General features: G+C 40.5%; 3 annotated features.

The window, feature by feature from the left end:
• Positions 2007-3206: an enhancer, noted in NCBI's record as "P300/CBP strongly-dependent group 1 enhancer chr6:12483687-12484886 (GRCh37/hg19 assembly coordinates)". NCBI's record gives its function as "activates an origin of replication core promoter dependent on BRD2, BRD4, P300/CBP, MED14 and CDK7 cofactors, with strong dependence on P300/CBP, by STARR-seq in HCT116 cells {active_cell/tissue: HCT116}" and the evidence as "EXISTENCE:reporter gene assay evidence [ECO:0000049][PMID:35650434]".
• Positions 2246-2325: an enhancer, noted in NCBI's record as "active region_24018". NCBI's record gives its function as "activates an Ori minimal core promoter by ATAC-STARR-seq in GM12878 lymphoblastoid cells {active_cell/tissue: GM12878}" and the evidence as "EXISTENCE:reporter gene assay evidence [ECO:0000049][PMID:35858748]".
• Positions 12927-13426: an enhancer, noted in NCBI's record as "H3K4me1 hESC enhancer chr6:12494607-12495106 (GRCh37/hg19 assembly coordinates)". NCBI's record gives its function as "activates a minimal SCP1, AML or CMV promoter by ChIP-STARR-seq in naive H9 embryonic stem cells {active_cell/tissue: H9 hESC(naive)}" and the evidence as "EXISTENCE:reporter gene assay evidence [ECO:0000049][PMID:30033119]".

Here is a 17427-nt window from a genome sequence, read left to right on the forward strand (position 1 = left end):
ACTCTTTTAAAATATTTATTTATTTATTTATTTATTTATTTATTTATTTATTTATGACAGAGTCTCACTCTGTCACCCAGGCTGAAGTGCAGTAGCATGATCATGGCTCAATGCAGCTTTGAACTCCTGGGCTCAAGTGACCCTCCTATCTCAGCCTCGCAAGTACCTTTTAACCTTTACACCAAAATAGAAATCCTAAGGATTGCCTTTTGACATTGTCCCATAGGCCTATTTAATCCATTCTACATCTCCTTGAAAGCAATGGCTGGATTTTACAATTTAAGCTTTTAATTCAGATTGACCTTTACCCTAGTTATCCAAATGATGAGATTTTACTGCACTTTCAATTTCCTATGGATTATACAAAAGATAGTTATTGAGCTTCTACCATGCATAGAATTAGCTTTAGAGAAGAAATAATCATAAAATAATTGATGATGATGAACATATGTTCTATTAAAGCTATGGAGGCTTCAAAACCCTGGCAGCTGAAAAAAAAAAAAAAAGAAACAGTAACTCAAATTGTAAAAAAGGGTGAACAGCAGATGGTGAAAGAGAACAAGTCATAGATTTATTGAGGATGGTGTGACATGCAGAAAGCTGATGGCTGCATCTTCCCCAGTGAGGGGTGGGGAGAGAGAGTGAGGCAAACAAAGCTCTAATTAGTGACCTTTTATTCCTTATTAGCAACTTGGACCAGAGCTTCATGAGTGAGGCTGTTGAAGGAAGCGTTATTGGAAAAAAGCATAAGGACAGCGAGGGAAGCAAGTATTGAGAAGAAGGCAGAAAGAAACCAGCTCACAATCTAGAACTTAGCTTTCATCATAAGTGTGATGGGGAGTTATTGGGATCTTTGGAGCTGGCTTCTAATAAGATGTGAATTACATTTGATGAAAATTATTTTAGCAGTTATCTTCAGAATGCATTTCAAAGAGGGATGCAGGAAGTCAGGCTAGGTGAGATTTTGATCATCTGAGTGAGAGCTGATTATATACTGTTGTTTGTAACAACAGGGGTGATGGGGAAGAAAGCAAGAATCCTGAAGATGTTGGCATGAAGACTGAACAGAACAACAAAACATGAGGGAAAGTGAAATGAAGAGACAAAGGTGATCCTGAATGCACAGGCACAGAGGGGCCCCCTATAGGACAAGCTGTTTCAAAGGTTACTTAGGATAATTTCTAAGAAGAGGGATAGGAAACAGTATCATCCACTGTTTTATAGTTTATTCTTGCCTGTCTTACAATGGTGGCAGAAGGTTACATGCTCCTATGACAGGTGTATAAATTAATCAGCACCCTAAGTTCCTGATTTCTTGCCCACCTATCAACAAAGATGTTAACGAGCTGCAGAACTTTTAATTTGCTAATGAAATACCATTCTGCATAGTTACAGCTTTAGCTTTCATGGTCTTTAAAATCTGTATCTCTTTACCACATCTCATCTTAAAGTGCGTAAAATTGTGCACTTCCTTTGTATTCATGAGAGTTCACACTACTCATAGTGTATTGTTTACCTTAATTACCAGATTATAGAACCAAATGAAGAGCTATTTTTAAAAGTAATAATAATAACAAAATATCAATACGTGCTCAAAGAGGAATATCCCAGCTTGGGAGTATGTTCTCTCAACCTTTTATAGCCAGACAAGAATTATGAAAATTTCTCTTCTCTGAAAATGTTAAGTTGCACTAGCTGACAGTCTATGCAGCGAAAAGAGGAACAAATTAGATACAGATGACCTGGTTTACTCTCTGAGCTTTGCCATTCTTTAGGATCCAAGACCTTAGGAGAGCTACACGAATATGTGAACAACACTTTCCACCTCTGCAAAATGGGATTTTGCTTGTAAGGTTTGTAGGAAATTTCTTTCTCTGGTCTAAGTACCAAGTGGCAGCTATTATTACTGTTACAGTTTTTGTTGTTCTTCTTATCGTGCCATTGGGCTATATGACATTTTTTGGAAAGGGCCAAACTCTCAGGTCTTAGATCTAGGCCTATTCCCTAACTCTAACTTCAGGTCACTTGATTTTTAAGGAAGGTTGAGAAAGGAACAGATTTATTTTGGTGAAAGTGCTTCATAAATTATAAAATGCTTCGAATGACAGCAGTCTTTTAATGGAAAAAATTTGTTAGATGTGCAGAACTTCAGATATAAAAGCAATAGATGGTATTGTACAGCAGTTAGGACTACAGTTGATGATCAATAATGACCGATTTGGATAAGAACATATTCAAGATTCTCATGTGTTTTATGGATTTGGACTGAAATCAAGAAGCTTCTTCCTCTGAGGAGAGCATCTCGTGGGTTCTTGGGCTCTTTTTCTTAAAGCAGTGGTTTCACTTTCCAGTTTGGTCCTCAAGCCATATGTCACCTATGGGCAGCAGCTCTCCTTTCAGATAAGCAGTCTACAAGCTGATATTTTTGGCAGAAAACCACCTTCTGGGTAATAGGTCTGGTATCTGGAGGATTCCTGTTTCTGCTGTCGTTCGCTGACCTCACCTCTCTTCTGTGACTAAGTCTGTATTCACCGCTGAAGTGCATGCTTCTTGGGGAGAAATTGTGGGTACTTCCGGTTCCCCCTGTGACTTTGTGACTTAAGCAGCAGAAGCATTTCATACCATGGGTACATGCTCCTTCCCATTACCTCCCTACTGACAGGTGCTGTCAGAGTTAGAAAGTTCTGGAAGCTCCTCAAAACATAGACTTAAAATAATAATTATAATTAATAATAGCAATTAACTTCCATCACAGGTTGAGTCACCTATAAGAGATTGCATGGTTAAGTTTCTTTTAAAGTCACCTCTTAACATTTCCTTACTTACTCAGCCTCACTCATCTTAAAAGGTAAGTCGCATTTAAAAGAAAATATTCTTAACTTGCGATAAGAGCAGAGAGAAGTTTTCCTGTCTTATATTTAATGCATGTAGATGACTGGTATTCACGAAGTTAATTTTTTCTTTAAGCCACAAAGAAAAAAAGTGGTGCATGTTTTCTAAAGAAGACCGGTATCTGTAATTGTGTCAATACTGATATTTTTGCTTTTAAATTCCTTCAATATTCAAAACGGTAGCTTATCTCTATGAAATGTTTCCTTTTTCCCTGTCCAATAACACATGGGTGGGAAGTTCAAACCTTTGTACTTTTTCTTTGAAGCAATTGCCCTAAGCCGGGAAAAGCTCTTTCATCAGCAAGAATTTTGAGTATTTTCTCTTTCCTCCTGATCAAGTTTAAGGTGTGTGCTCATAAACAAGATACGCAACTGTCAATAATCATCTTTTCAGCAAATAGAGCCAAAGTTAATTTATTAAACCCGGCAAGCTGCTCTCCTAGTTTTCTTCCCCCTGTGACATACTGTCCAATTATTTCACATTCTTGTAGTGTAAAATAAACACATTGAGTCTGTTGAGATACTGCTGTGGTTATTTATTTTTCAAAATTTAATAAGGAGGAGGATGACCTTTCCTCTTTGGACAGGAAACAAAATCAGACCTAACAGTGATACATTATCAATTTTCACAACCATGAAAATATTCCAGAAAACAAGCAGTTTTCTGTGCACTCAGGTGACTGCAAGCTGGCCAGTGAAGCCAGAAAGCCCAAATGCCTTCTAGATCTCAATTAACTACCCACTTACTTGAAAGGTTTTATTGACTATAATTTTGATAACGATGCATAATTATATCAACTTTCTTTCCTCATCGAATTCTACTACAAATCCCGGGCCGAAAGGGGCACATGAGTCTGTTCTTGATGAACAGACAGAAAAAAAGAAGACAGAAAAAAAGAACTTGAAGAGTCTGAAAACAGGTTTAGCTGAGGCATGTGCCATGGTAAATTTGCTTTGTGAAACTAAGCCAAATACGTTTATTTTCCTACATCTGCATTTCTCATAATGTCGCAGGTAACATAAACAGGTTCTCTCACCCAACACTGTAATAACGATGGAAATCAATGATAAAGTTAAAGACAACTACATCTGCATATACATACCAAACGAACAAACAAAAATCTGTCAGCAATCTTGGGGGTAACATGAGGCTTCTGGATTCTTCTTTCCTATTTCTCTACTTGCATTCTTGGCTTTGGCGTAAGTAGAAGAGCTTTCATAGCCAGAGGCAGAACACTGGTGTGTGTGAGTCAGTCAAGGGCAGCAACGTTTGAAGATTCAGATGCATAACGATATTTATAATTGAAAAAAATCTATATTTCATACAGATATTGCAAATTCCGTGGCAAAAGGGAGAAAGCAGTTAAACAAGCAGGGAGACAACATACAGCTCTCCTCTGAGAGTTGAAAGAAAAAAATATTTTTTAGGATCAATCCTCAATAACCTCCAATTTTCATCTTTACAGATTGTTAGCTTGAATCACAGTTGTTGTTTAAAGAGGACGGATGTTGGGGAGAGGAATGGTTACTGATTCCCAGATTTTTTAAAAATGCAATGCAAGGAGAATTCTGAGGAGGGAAGCACAATGTCTGGATTCACTATTTTCCCCTCTCCGGGTGGTGGCTTGATGATGAGAAGATACAACCCTGTCATCATCACTCTCTTCTTAGGACTTGCAGCAGAAAGCACTCTTCTCATTGTAAGCAAGCTTCATGAAAATTAGCCTGGAAGAAAGAAGACTGGCAAGATATCGGCCATACTGTTGAAATTGAACCCTGGGAAACAAAGATATGTACATACCAAAGTCAAACTTTTACTAGGAAGGTTTGGATTGTCAAGGCTCAGGTGTGATATTTCAGTCTTGGTCCTATTTACTTAGGATGCAATTCAGAAGGTTAAAGTTGGCCCTGGGAGATCCAATAAAAAATATACCTGAGTCCAAATTAATCTAGATCTACAATTATTACTTTTAATTCATTACTATTATGGATATATATATATGTTAGGAATTAGCAGCAGAGTGAATCAGTATGATATTTTAAGGATTATGCTTTTATGCTTTTAAATTTTAGATAATACATTTCCTAATATTAATTTTAAAACACTCTCTTTGCCATGCTGTTAAGAATTCTACTTTTTTTTTTTTCATTTTTATCTTCCTAACTTCTTATTGTGACATTGTTGGCCAGATCCTAAATAATTTTAGATACAAGCAAAAGTTTCCTTGTATGAGTGAATAGAATGCTAAGTCTCTTTGGAAGTATATTTATACATTTTATTGTAAAGTTTAATTTTGATTGTGCATTTGTGTTTGTGCTTTAGATTTCAGGATTATGGTAGCTTTCCTACCCAAGTATTGGCTGAAACAGCCAATACCCTTCTTTAAAAAATTTCTGTAAACAGGTTTCTACACATTGCTAACATGAATAAACAACTTTCCTTCTACCTCCAAGTTCGTCATTTCGTCTGGCAGTCATTGAAAATTACCATATGTTGGGGGTTGACACCGAGACAAAATATTCAGACTGTTAGGCCCTACGGTTCACCTTTTCCTACAGGGTGTTTTTTGTTTGTTCCTTTCTCTCCTTGTTGTCTTTTTTTTTTTCTTGGATAAAGCATTCAAGAAATCCTTGATGTGGGACAAAATTTTATTGTGGTTAAGACTTACTCTTTCCAAGATGAAACAGCCAATAAAGATCCACCAGAATGCATTCAGGCAGGCAGCAACAATGTCTTCCAGCTCCCTAGCAGGCAAGTCATCTGTGGTCTACTTCCCTCCTCTCTGTTTACTGAAAGACAACAGTCAGTGGGAAAAGCACTGCTCCAGCTTTCAATTCTGTTAGAACAGGGTCTTTTCTCCCACGATGGCTTCTTGGCCTTCTGAGTGAAATGTCCAGTGAGCTGGCTTGGCACATTTCAGTGGAGGATTTGGCACTTAGAAGAGAATAGCTCAGCTGTCATTTCTTAGTGAAATATAAATAATTCCAGAGAGAAGCAGAAGAAAAAATTAACAGTCCATTCTGAGTCTTTGTCATGAGGGTTCCACAGGGCCAATTTTTTTTAACATGTCCTCTGAGATACTGGCCTAGCAAGGCCCTCCTTCCTAGTTAAACCAGATGCCAACCAAGATGGAAAGCGTCCCTGGAAAGAGAGCTGTTTCTTTCCACTTCATTCCCCAGCCTTTTTTCCTGATGGGATTTCAAGAAGGTTAGTATCCTGAAGATGCAGACAGAAGCAAGCTGGTCAAGAATGCTCCAGGAATCCCAGGGACCTCAGATCAACTGTCCTAAGGCAAGAAGGCCCTCACAGGAAAGACTCTCATACTAAATACTGTAGATTCCTGGAGACTTTTGGATGCAAATGACAGAAACCTAAATCAATCCAGCTTAAGCCAAAATAACAAGAGCAAACAGAAGAAGAATGTTTTGGAAGTCTACACGTGATTGTACCCTCGGATTTGAAGGCGGTCTTCAGCAGTGTATGCCTCTATTCTCCTGTATTCACAGGCAGGTCCCCAGCAACCCTGAGCCGACATAGATCTCCGAACTTGTGATCTCAAAGAAAGAAGGACCATCTCTTCCAATAGCTCTGGCAAGGGCCAAGAAAGGGCTCTGATTAGGCTGGTCTGAATCATATGTCCATGCCTAAATCAATCTTAGTGGCCAGCAAGCTGGGTGGCCAGAATTGAATCAAGTGTTCATTCCTAAGGCTAGTGGGGACTTAGGGATCACTTGGACTGAAAAGTATCATTGAAGATTCAGGGAGAGTTTGTTTTCTAAGGCAATATCTATCAGACACACAAGAAAAAATATGTCCTCTGCATATGTGGAAACACCTTGATGAGGCATTAATTGAAAGAGACCCAAAGTGTCTTGGTGCTCCAAGAAGTAGAGCATCCCACAGGAAGCTTGCATAAATCTTAATGTCAATTGGAAAGTGGAGCTGGGGATTAGATTTTAAACACACTCCATTTCAAGCAATTTCACTGCACTTTTACTGGGTGATCTGGTCCTGAGTGACACTGTGGACTCGGTTATATTTGGGTTTGGGGTTTTTATCTCTTATTTTTGTGGTCCTGTTTTCTTTTCCTTTCTAACACTGTCCATGAGAGCACTTACACTTCCCAAGCCATTTGACCCTGATGTCCCACAGCTAAACAATGGCATGAACATTCTACCCCTCACTCTCTCCCAAAATGACCTACCCTATGCTTTAAACCCGAAAGACCTTCAGGGAAATCAATGACTAATATCAACTAAAATGAGCATTATTTGTAACAAGGTAAGATACTACTGACATTTTAAGAATAATCAGACCTCAATCTTATGGCTTCCAAACTTTGGAATTTGTACAGGAGAGAGAAAGAAAGGGCTGGGGGTGGGGAGAGAGAGAGAGAAAGAGAACAAGAGGAAGAAGAAGAGGAAGAGGAGGAGGAAGAAGAAGAAGAAAAGGGAGGAGGAGGATCAGGGTAGCAGTGCTGGCTTCAGAGATGCTGAGGAAGGAAAGGGAGGAGAGGAAGAAAAAAGGAGGGAAGATTAAGGAAAAAATTGGGGTTTTTTAACCATTTTATTTTGCCAAGTTAAGGACCTTAAAAAGCCACAACAAAACTACCATTTAATACCATGAATGCATTATAAAAGAGAAGATATTTTAATACCAAAATATTTGAAAAGGGTTTAGTTTCATATTACAAGAAACTCTCTTAAATTAAAAAAATTACATCGTGTTTTGAAAACTCACTGAAATGTCCTAAATTAGCCAGAGATCATTTAATGCTTTATCCAAAGCAGCACTTGCTAAAGATGAGTATTTGGGTACCATAGCCTTACCCCAGAGAGATTAATGATGGAAGTTGTGGGGCCATGGCTCATCAGTGGGAGAATTTTATGCCACTGTGCCCTTGTACCTGGAGATATAGGTTCCTCTATCTATAAAGGCATGACCTTGGTTCCAGGCCACAGATTCTGGTAGAACTTACACACATCTGAATCATCATCCCTAACGGAGACCTTTCAGCACTCAGCACAGCCTACATTTTACATAGAAGGGAAAACCAAGATGCAAGAGGTAAAGAAATTTGGCTAATATCACATTCTGTACGTAAATAGCATAGCCAAGACAGAACTTTTACAAATCAGGACTCGGTTGGCACTCGGACTGAAGGCAGAGAGTCCGCCTCTGAAGACTGAACATGCCCCTGGGTAAGCCCAAGTGTCAGGTGGGCAGAGACGGCCATAGGTGATGTGAAGGAGTCCCAGCCAGCTGGCAGTACACTTCTGCAAAAGGGAATGATGTTGAGGGAGAGAGTTCCAGCCTGGCCATCAGGGTGTTGTGCCTGGGATGTGGAGCTGTGAAAAGGACCCAGACCCATATTGTGGGCTTGGCAGTGTTCAGGCAGTTTTCATGAGGTCCAGGGAAGACCCTACTCCCAGAAACATTGTATTACTGAGCCAGTTATCAAGACAGGGGCTCCCTGGAAGAAAGGTCAGGGCCCAAGATTCTAGAAATGACATGTAAGATGAGCAAGAGCAAGATGGACTTTATCGGCTTCAGAATATCAGCACCTGTGGACAAGACAAGCTAATTGTGATATGAAAATTAGAATGTTAGCAGTGGAAGGAATGTTCCACATTGTAAACATGAGAACTGAAGGGAAGAAATGTGTAGGATTTTTTTCCCAGTAAAATGGCTGTTGTCTTTAATGTTTTCTTGTCCTTTGAGCTGCATTGCTGACACATATTAACCACAGTGTAAGAAAGTCACATTTGGATGCAAATGTGACCATGGAAGCAATATTAAAAGTAAAAGAAAAGATTTTGGTGAAACCATGGAGAAAGACATAGACTGGCTCTCAGGAGAACTGGAAATTAGCTGAATGCAGAGGGGCAGGGCTTTGTTGAAGCACTCATTAAAAAATCTCAGCATTAAGCCTGGGCAGAGGAAGAAGAATAATTGGAACTGAGGAAGCTTGAAATCCAGATGGTGTCAGTCAAGATGGAGGTTTAGCCTTTGCAGCTCCTCAACAGATTTGAAATCTAGTAGAACCATGAAACCCTGCCAAGTCAACTAAGAGACACTAAGAGCAAATTAGGCCTAAAATATAATCTGGGGCCTGAGTTTTGGATTAGGATTAATAAGACTTTTTTAGAGACTCAAGAGACCAAAAGAGAAAGCTCAGACTGAGTCCCAAGGAAATCATAGAATGACGCAGAGGTCATAATCCCTACCAAGATGAAAAACAGCAGGGAAAGACTAAAATTCCTCAGTGTTTAAGACTGTCAGAAGTTCGTACCTGAGGATTAACCTCCCATTGCAATAAAATTTAGTTATGTCATTTCTAAACTGATTAATTTCAGCTTGGAGTGAGTGGGATCAGAAACTGTGGCTCTGCCCACTTACTTCCCCTGTAACATAGCAGCCCCCTGGATATGGGAAATCTTTGGTGAATGTATCAGCAATTGAAACAAATGAAATATCTCTGGGACATTAATCATTAAACTTTCATATCTGTTATGACAAAAACAATACTCTGAGCACAGGCATTACTGGAAATTCATGAAATGAACCCTCTTTTTTGGGTCAGTGTTTACTACAGTACTGATTGTTTCAGAAAGAAAACTTTATGAAAGGAAATCAAGAGCATTTCTCCAACTCCACGAGCCCTGCAATAACAGGAAACAAAACTTCTATTTCTGTAGTTTTCCAGATAAGAACTGAATAGTGGATTTTTTTTGAAGACATGTGGCAAGTACTGTTTAAGACATATAAATTAATGTCTATTGCACAGGCTTGGCTGGGTGACTCACATTGCGGCTTCTATTTCTGGTGGGGGAGACTCAGATACATTTGTCATGACTCCAGTAAGTGGTAAAAAATGACAAATTGGCAGAGAAGAAGTTGTTGCTAACAATGTGGCCATTTCAGCCTTGGTCATTCAATGGGACCACTCTGCCCCAAGAACATTCTAGGCTGACTGTGAAGCACAGCAAAGCCTAACTAGTTACTATGCAGTTGAAGCCAATTTCTAGTGGCCTCCTAAGACTCCTACAGTTCAGATGCTCTCCAAGAGTAGACAAAACAATGGAAAGACATGCCAGAGTGTGCAAAGAATGAGGAAACATTTTCATGTTTCCATGTGCATTTTCTTGTTCATGCTTTCTGTTCACTGGAAACACAAGATGTAAGCAGAGATATTGGCAAAGAATGATGGGGCATTCCAATATTGAGACAATGGTATGAATGAATATTCATAATAAAGGTCAGATGCTTGGAGGTTGAAGCAAAATCAGGTGAAGAGTTGCCAGTGACTGTTTACAGTCTTGAGATCTTCATGCCTCCAGCATGAGACCTCATGAGAGATCCTGAGACCTCCAGGCTCCCCTCAATGAGATCTTCCATGGAAACTAGCACTCAGTCGCCTTAAAAGGGATCTTTCTTTGAATATGCAAAGAAGTGGTTTACTCAGTTAGTTCAGAACATATTTGCTAATTACAAATTATATACTTCAAGTACAATAGCTAGCTGGTCTATTACAATATACTTCCCCAAAGTTTTCACAAGTCACGTTGTAATAGCAAACATAATTAGGGAGGTATGTGTGTTTCATTTTAAAGTTTATCCTCTTCAGCAGCTCCGAAAAGGACAGGAAAGTTAGGTCAGAAATCCAGGAGGCCATTTAAGACACAAATCTCTCAAAACACACCGTCTGAGCACATGCTGATATGGAAATATGTACATTGAGAGATTCTTTAAGTTATAATGCAAAGGTTCTTTTTTTATTTTATTTTATTTTATTTATTTATTTTTTTGAGATGGAGTCTCACTCTGTCGCCCAGTCTGGAGTGCAGTGGCACGATCTCAGCTCACTGCAACTTCCGCCTCCTGGGTTCAAGTGATTCTCCTGCCTCAGCCTCCCGAGTAGCTGTGACCACAGGCGCATGCCACCACATCCCACTAATTTTTTGTATTTTTAGTAGAGATGGGGTTTCACTGTGTTAGCCAGCATGGTCTCGATCTCCTGACCTTGTGATTCGCCCTCCTCGGACTCCCAAAGTGCTGGGATTACAGGCATGAGCCACCGCACTCGGCCAATGCAAAGGTTCTTTTATGGTCAAGGTTTTCAGCTTTTTAATCATGACACTGGATTATTGGCTTCCTTGTTTGCTAAGACATTATTGATGTCATTCCTTGTTGACATGACTCAGAGAAAAGAATTTTTAATATTTGATTATGTCAACAATTGTGAAACATTACTGAGAGCATCAAAGTAGAAGAGGGTGAGATGAGTACCTTTGTTGAATGTCTTATTGCTACAATCAGTAAATAACTGTAAAGATGCAAGAATAACATATCTCCACACCCAGATTCAGTCACTGCTAATATTTTGCTATATTTTGTTATGTATTTTATTTTTGCCTGTTCTAGACCACATTTATCCACAATTTTGCATCCTGCTTTTATTACACTTAACTTTAATACCATAAGCAGGTTACTAGGTTATTAAAACTCTATGTAAAGATCACTTTTATAAAGAGTGATCTTTATTAAATTGACACATAAAGGTTGTTTGCAGTGGGTTTTTTTCTTTCTTTCTTTCTTTCTTTCTTTTTTTTTTTTCTTTTTTTTTGAGACAGAGTTTTGCTCTTGTTGCCTAGGCTGGAGTGTAATGGTGCGACTTCAGCTCACTGTAACCTCCGCCTCCTGGGTTCAAGTGATTCTCCTGCCTCAGCCTCCCAAGTAGCTGAGATTGCAGGTGCCTGCCACCACTCCCAGCTAATTTTTGTATTTTTAGTAGAAACGGGGTTTCACCATGTTGGTCAGGCTGGTCTCGAACTCCTGACCTCAGATGATCCACCCTCCTTGGCCTCCCTAGTGTTTCTTATTATAAATACTTTTGTGTGAAACATCTTTTCAAACAAACCTCTTTCCTTGTTACTTATAATTTCATTGAGATTCTTAGGAGTGAAATCATTAGGTCAAAGGTGTAACTTTTTGGAGCTATTGATATGTATTGCCAAACTGCTAAATAGAAAGGTTGTACCAGTTTATGCCCCAACAGAAGTTGATGAAAATACAAAAAGAGAATGCCCTTAGGCTTCATTAATTTAGTCACAGTCATGTGAGAATTTATGCTTATGGTAAACAGAGCATTGGTTAAAGATAAACAATTGAAATATTTTTGTTTAAGATAAAATGAAGGCAGAAGGCATCCTTAAAATGCTAATAAATGCTGAGAATTTAAAAAGATCTACTAGGAGTGTGCCAGTCTTCCCGATGTCCCGCTCCCTCAGTGGGGGATGTTCCTCCCGCGTTCCTCCCACATAGATGCAGTTGGAAGGAACATCTCTCTCCAAGAGACTAGACATTGGGAAGACTGGCACACTCCTAGCAGATCTTCAGAGGGAAGGCATTGAGAACAGTTGGAGGGAAGACACAGAAGCTGGGCTGGAGAGGGAGGAAGCTGAGAACCCCACACAGAGCTGCCATGCACTGGGACTATTCCTAGCCCCCAACAATTCCTGCGGAGGGGGTGAGTTAACTGGCAAGGAGCAACCAGCTTTCACCACAGGCCTCTTGAATCCCTACTGGAGGAGACCCCTCAACCACCACAGACTCTTGAGTTGGCAGGGAAAGCTGCTTAGAGAAGTTGTAAGGGCAGAACTCCAGCCATGGTGGAGCCCACAGTATTTGGTAGTGGAGGACGTCCAGAGATGCCTGCCCCACTAGGCTTGACTTGCTCCTGTAGGAGACTTTAACCCTAGGAAAACTGTCTGCTCTGTGTGCTGCAGGGCGATCTTGCCCATGAGAAGAAGCCAGTCTGATCTGAGCACCCCTCAGTCTGCTGGTGTCTTCTGGAGCCCCAGCCTGGCCATGCCTGCTTGCAATGCAGCCCCCAGATACCTCCTGGGGTCCCACATCATAGTTCCTGCCCTGGTGGACTGTGTCCCCGACCAGCAGAGTACTCCAGTAGAGTGGCCCCAGTGGACAGGAACCAGCCTACCTGCGCCCCGCCCCCACTGCAGCCTCCTTCATGCCACCTTGCCTACAGACACTCGCCCAAGGCCACCCCCTATATTGCTTTCCCAGCACACATGTGTGGGTGGCCCTACCTTTCCCTTCCCTGCCAGTGTGTGGGTGCATGTGCACCCTGCCAAGCCACTGCTGCAAGTGCGAATGCACCCCGCCCTCCTTCCTCTCGCCATACCACCATTGTCATGGGCACATTGGCAGTCATGGAGCCCTCTAGCCCCACCCTTGCCAGCACTTCACTCTGCGCTGGAGCTGCTAGTGGGAAATCAGGCAAGGAGAACAGTGGACCTGCCCCCAGCCCAGAGTGGCCACTACCACTCATGTGAATGAGCACAAAGGGTGCACACAGTCCTACACCCACCAGCACCCTGCCCTTGTGCTAACACCACCACTGCACTGATGTGAATGTGTGCACAGTTGCTGGGGGGGTCCCCACTCCCCCTGAGCCTTATTGCCACCACTACTGTTGGGAAGGCCCACGTGGAGGCCAGCACCCTGGCCCTGGGTAGCCCCCTGCTGCAGCCAACAAGCATGCAAGCACGCACCCTGTGACACTGCCACTACCACTGCTGCTGGCACATGTAAACAAGAATGGATCCTGCTGCCACCGCCTTACAAAGTGCTTTAGCTGGCACCACCCATCAGAATGTTGTGACCAGCAGTCCAAGAGCACCTTAGCCCCTCCAGCACAGCAGGTTCCTAACCTTGAGGAGCCAGAGATCAAATCCAGGGCCTAATACCAGGCTCCCAGAGTTAGAGCATGCAGTACAGGAGTCCTGAGCTGAGCCTTGATCCCCTAATATCTTCCAGTAAGGAAGCCAGTCAACTGAATCCACCTTACACCACAAACTCCAAGATCATCAAATAGGATTTTAAAAAACCCAGAAAACTCATCCAAAGTTGAGCAACTTCAAGGACTGAAGAAATATCAGCCCAGAAAGATGAGAAAGAATCAGTGCTAGAACTCTGACAACTTAAAAAGTCACCATATCTTCTTTCCTCCAAACAACTGCACTAGTTCTTCAGCAAGTTTTCTTAACTGGGCTGAGATGGCTGAAATGACAGAAACAGAACTCAGATTATGGACAGGAATGAAAATCACTGAGATTCAGGAGAATGTTGAAATTCAATCCAAGGAAGTTAAAAATCACAATAAGAGTTGGGCGTGGTGGCTCACATCTGTAATCCTAGCGCTTTGGGAGGCTGAGGTGGGTGGATCACCTGAGGTCAGGAGTTCAAGACCAGCCTGGCCAACATGGTGAAACCGTGTCTCTACTAAAAATACAAAAATTTGCTGGGCTTGGTGGTGCACGCCTGTAATCTCAGCTACTCGGGAGACTGAGGAAGGAGAATCACTTGAATCTGGGAGGTGGAAGTTGCACTGAGCCGAGATCATGCCACTGCACTCCAGCCTGTGTGATGGGAGAGAGACTCCATCTCAAAAAAAAAAAAAAAAAAAGAATCACAGTAAAACCACACAGAAGCTAACAGACAAAATAGCCAACATAGAAAAATATGTAACTGACCCCTTAAAGAGCTGAAAAACACTCTACAAGAATTTCAAAATACAATTGCAAATATTAACAGCAGAATAGACCAAGCTGAGGAAAGAATCTCAGAGCTTGAAGACTGGCTTTCTGGAATAAGGCAGTCAGACAAGAATTTTCAAGAAAAGAATGAAAAAGAATGAACAAAACCTTCGAGAATTTCAAGAATTATGGAATTATGTAAAGAGACTGAATCTGTGCTTACTGATGTCCCTGAAAGAGATGGGGAGAATGGAAGAAACTTGGAAAACATGTTTCAGGATGTCGTCCATGAGAACTTCCCCAACCTAGCTACAGAGGCCAAACTTAAAATTCAGGAAATGCAGACAACCCAAGCAAAATACTTCATGAGAAGGTCACCCCCAAGACTCATAATTATAAGATTCTCCAAGGTCTAAATGCAAGAAAAAAATGTTAAAAGCAGCTAGAGAGAAAGGACAGGTCACCTACAAACGGAAGCTCATTAGACTAACAGCAGACCTCTCAGCAGAAACCCTGCAGACCAAAAGAGATTAGGGGCCTATATCCAAAATTCTTTAAAAACAGAAACTCCAACCAAGAATTCTATATCCGGCCAAACTAAGCTTCATAAGCAAAAAAGAAATAAGATCCTTTTCAGACAAGCAAATGCTGAGGGAATTTGTTACCACTAGACTTGCCTGAGAAGAGCTCTTAAAGAAGCACAAAATGTGGAAAGGAAAGACTATTACTAGCCACTACAAAAACACACTTAAGCACACAGACCAGTGACACTATAAAGCAACCACACAAACAACTCAGCATAATAAACAGCTAAAATCACAATGACAGGATCAAATCTGCACATATCAATACTAACCTTGAATGCAAATAGGCTAAATGCCCCATTTAAAAGGCACAGTGTAGCAAGCTGGATAAAGAATAAAAACCCAATGGTATACTTTCTTCAAGAGACCCATCGCACATGCAATGAGGCCTATAGGCTCAAAATAAAGGGATAGAGAAAAATCTACCAAGCAAATGGAAAACTGAAAAGAGCAGGGGTTGCCATCCTAATTTCAGACAAAACAGGCTTAAACCAACAAAGAACAAAAAAGACAAAGAAAGGGCCAGGTGTGGTGGCTCACACCTGGCCAAGGCGAGCAGATCACAAGGTCAGGAGATCGAGACCATACTGGCTAACAGGGTAAAACCCTGTCTCCACTAAAAAAAAAAAAAAAAAAAAAAAAAAAAAAAATATATATATATATATATATATAGAGAGAGAGAGAGAGAGAGAGAGAGAAGGGCACTACATAATGGTAAATAGTTCATTTCAACGAGAAGACCTAATTATCCTAAATACATATGCACCCAACACAGGAGCACCCAGATTCATAAAGCAAGTTTCCTAGAGGCCTTCAAAGAGACTTAGACTCCCACACAATTACAGTTTGAACCTTCAACACTTCACTGACAGTATTAGATAGATTACTGAGGCAGAAAATTAACAAAGATATTCAGAACCTGAACTCAACACTGGACCAAATGGATCTGATATCTGGAGAGATCTACAGAACTCTCCACCCCAAAACAACAGAATATACATTATATCATCCACACTCTTGGACCACAGCACAGTAACAATAGAACTCAATATGAAGAAAATTGTTAAAAACCATACTTTTACATGGAAATTAAATATTCTGCTCCTGGATGACTTTTGGGTAAACAACATACCAGAATCTCTGGAACACAGCTAAGGCACTATTAGGAGGAAAATTTATAGTACTAAAGGCCCATATTAAAAAGTTAGAAGGTATCAAATTAATAATCAAACATCACAACTAAAAACTAGAGAAACAAGAGCAAACCAACCCCGAAGGTAGATGAATACAAGATATAATCAAAATGAGAGCTGAACTGAAGGAGACTGAGACATAAAACACCACTCAAAAAATCAATGAAACCAGGAGCTGGCTTTTTGAAAAAAATTAATAAGAAAAATAGGCTGCTAGCTAGACTAATATAGAAGAAAAGAGAGATTTAAAAAAACAATTAGAATTACCACTGACCTCACAGAAATACAAATAACCAACAGAAACTATTATGAACACCTATATGCACACAAACTACAAAATCTTGAAGAAATGGATAAATTCCTGGACACATACACCCCCTCCCAAGACTGAACAAAGAAGAAATCGAATCCTTGAACGGACCAGTAATGAGCTCCGAAATTGAATTCATAATAAATAGCCTACCAACAAAAAGAAGCCCTGGACCAGACAGATTCACAGCCAAATTCTGCCAGATGAACAAAGAAGAGCTGGCACCATTCCTACTGAAACTATTCCAAAAATAAATAAATAATAATAATGAGGAAGGACTCTTCCCCAACTCGTTCTGTCAGGCCAGCATCATTCTGATATCAAAACCTGGCAGGGACATAACAACAAAGAAAACTTCAGGCCGATATCCTTGATGAATATAGATGCAAAAATCCTCAAAAAAATATGAGCAAACTGAATGCAGCAGCACATTAAAAAGCTCATCCACCACAATCAAGTAGACTTTATCCCTGGGACACAAGGTTGGTTCAACAAACACAAACCAATAAATGTGATTCATCACATATACAGAATTAAGGACAAAAACCACATGATCACCTCACTAGATGCAGAATAGGCTTTTGGTAAAATTTAACATCCTTTTATGTTAAAAACCCTCAACAAACTAGGCATTGAAGGAACATAGCACAAAATAATAAGACACACCTATGACAAACCCACAGCAAACATCATACTGAATGGCAAAAGCTGGAAGCATTCCCCTTGAAAACTGGCACAAGATGAGGTTGCCCTCTCTCACCACTCTTATTCAACATAGTATTGGAAGTCCTGGCCAGAGCAATCAGACAAGAGAAGAAATAAAGGGCATCCAAGTAGGATGAAAGGAAATCAAACTATTCCTGTTTGCAGATGACATGGTTCTATATCGA

This window comes from Homo sapiens, chromosome 6 (genome assembly GCF_000001405.40).
Source record: "Homo sapiens chromosome 6, GRCh38.p14 Primary Assembly".
In the NCBI taxonomy this organism is placed as follows: Eukaryota; Metazoa; Chordata; class Mammalia; order Primates; family Hominidae; genus Homo; species Homo sapiens.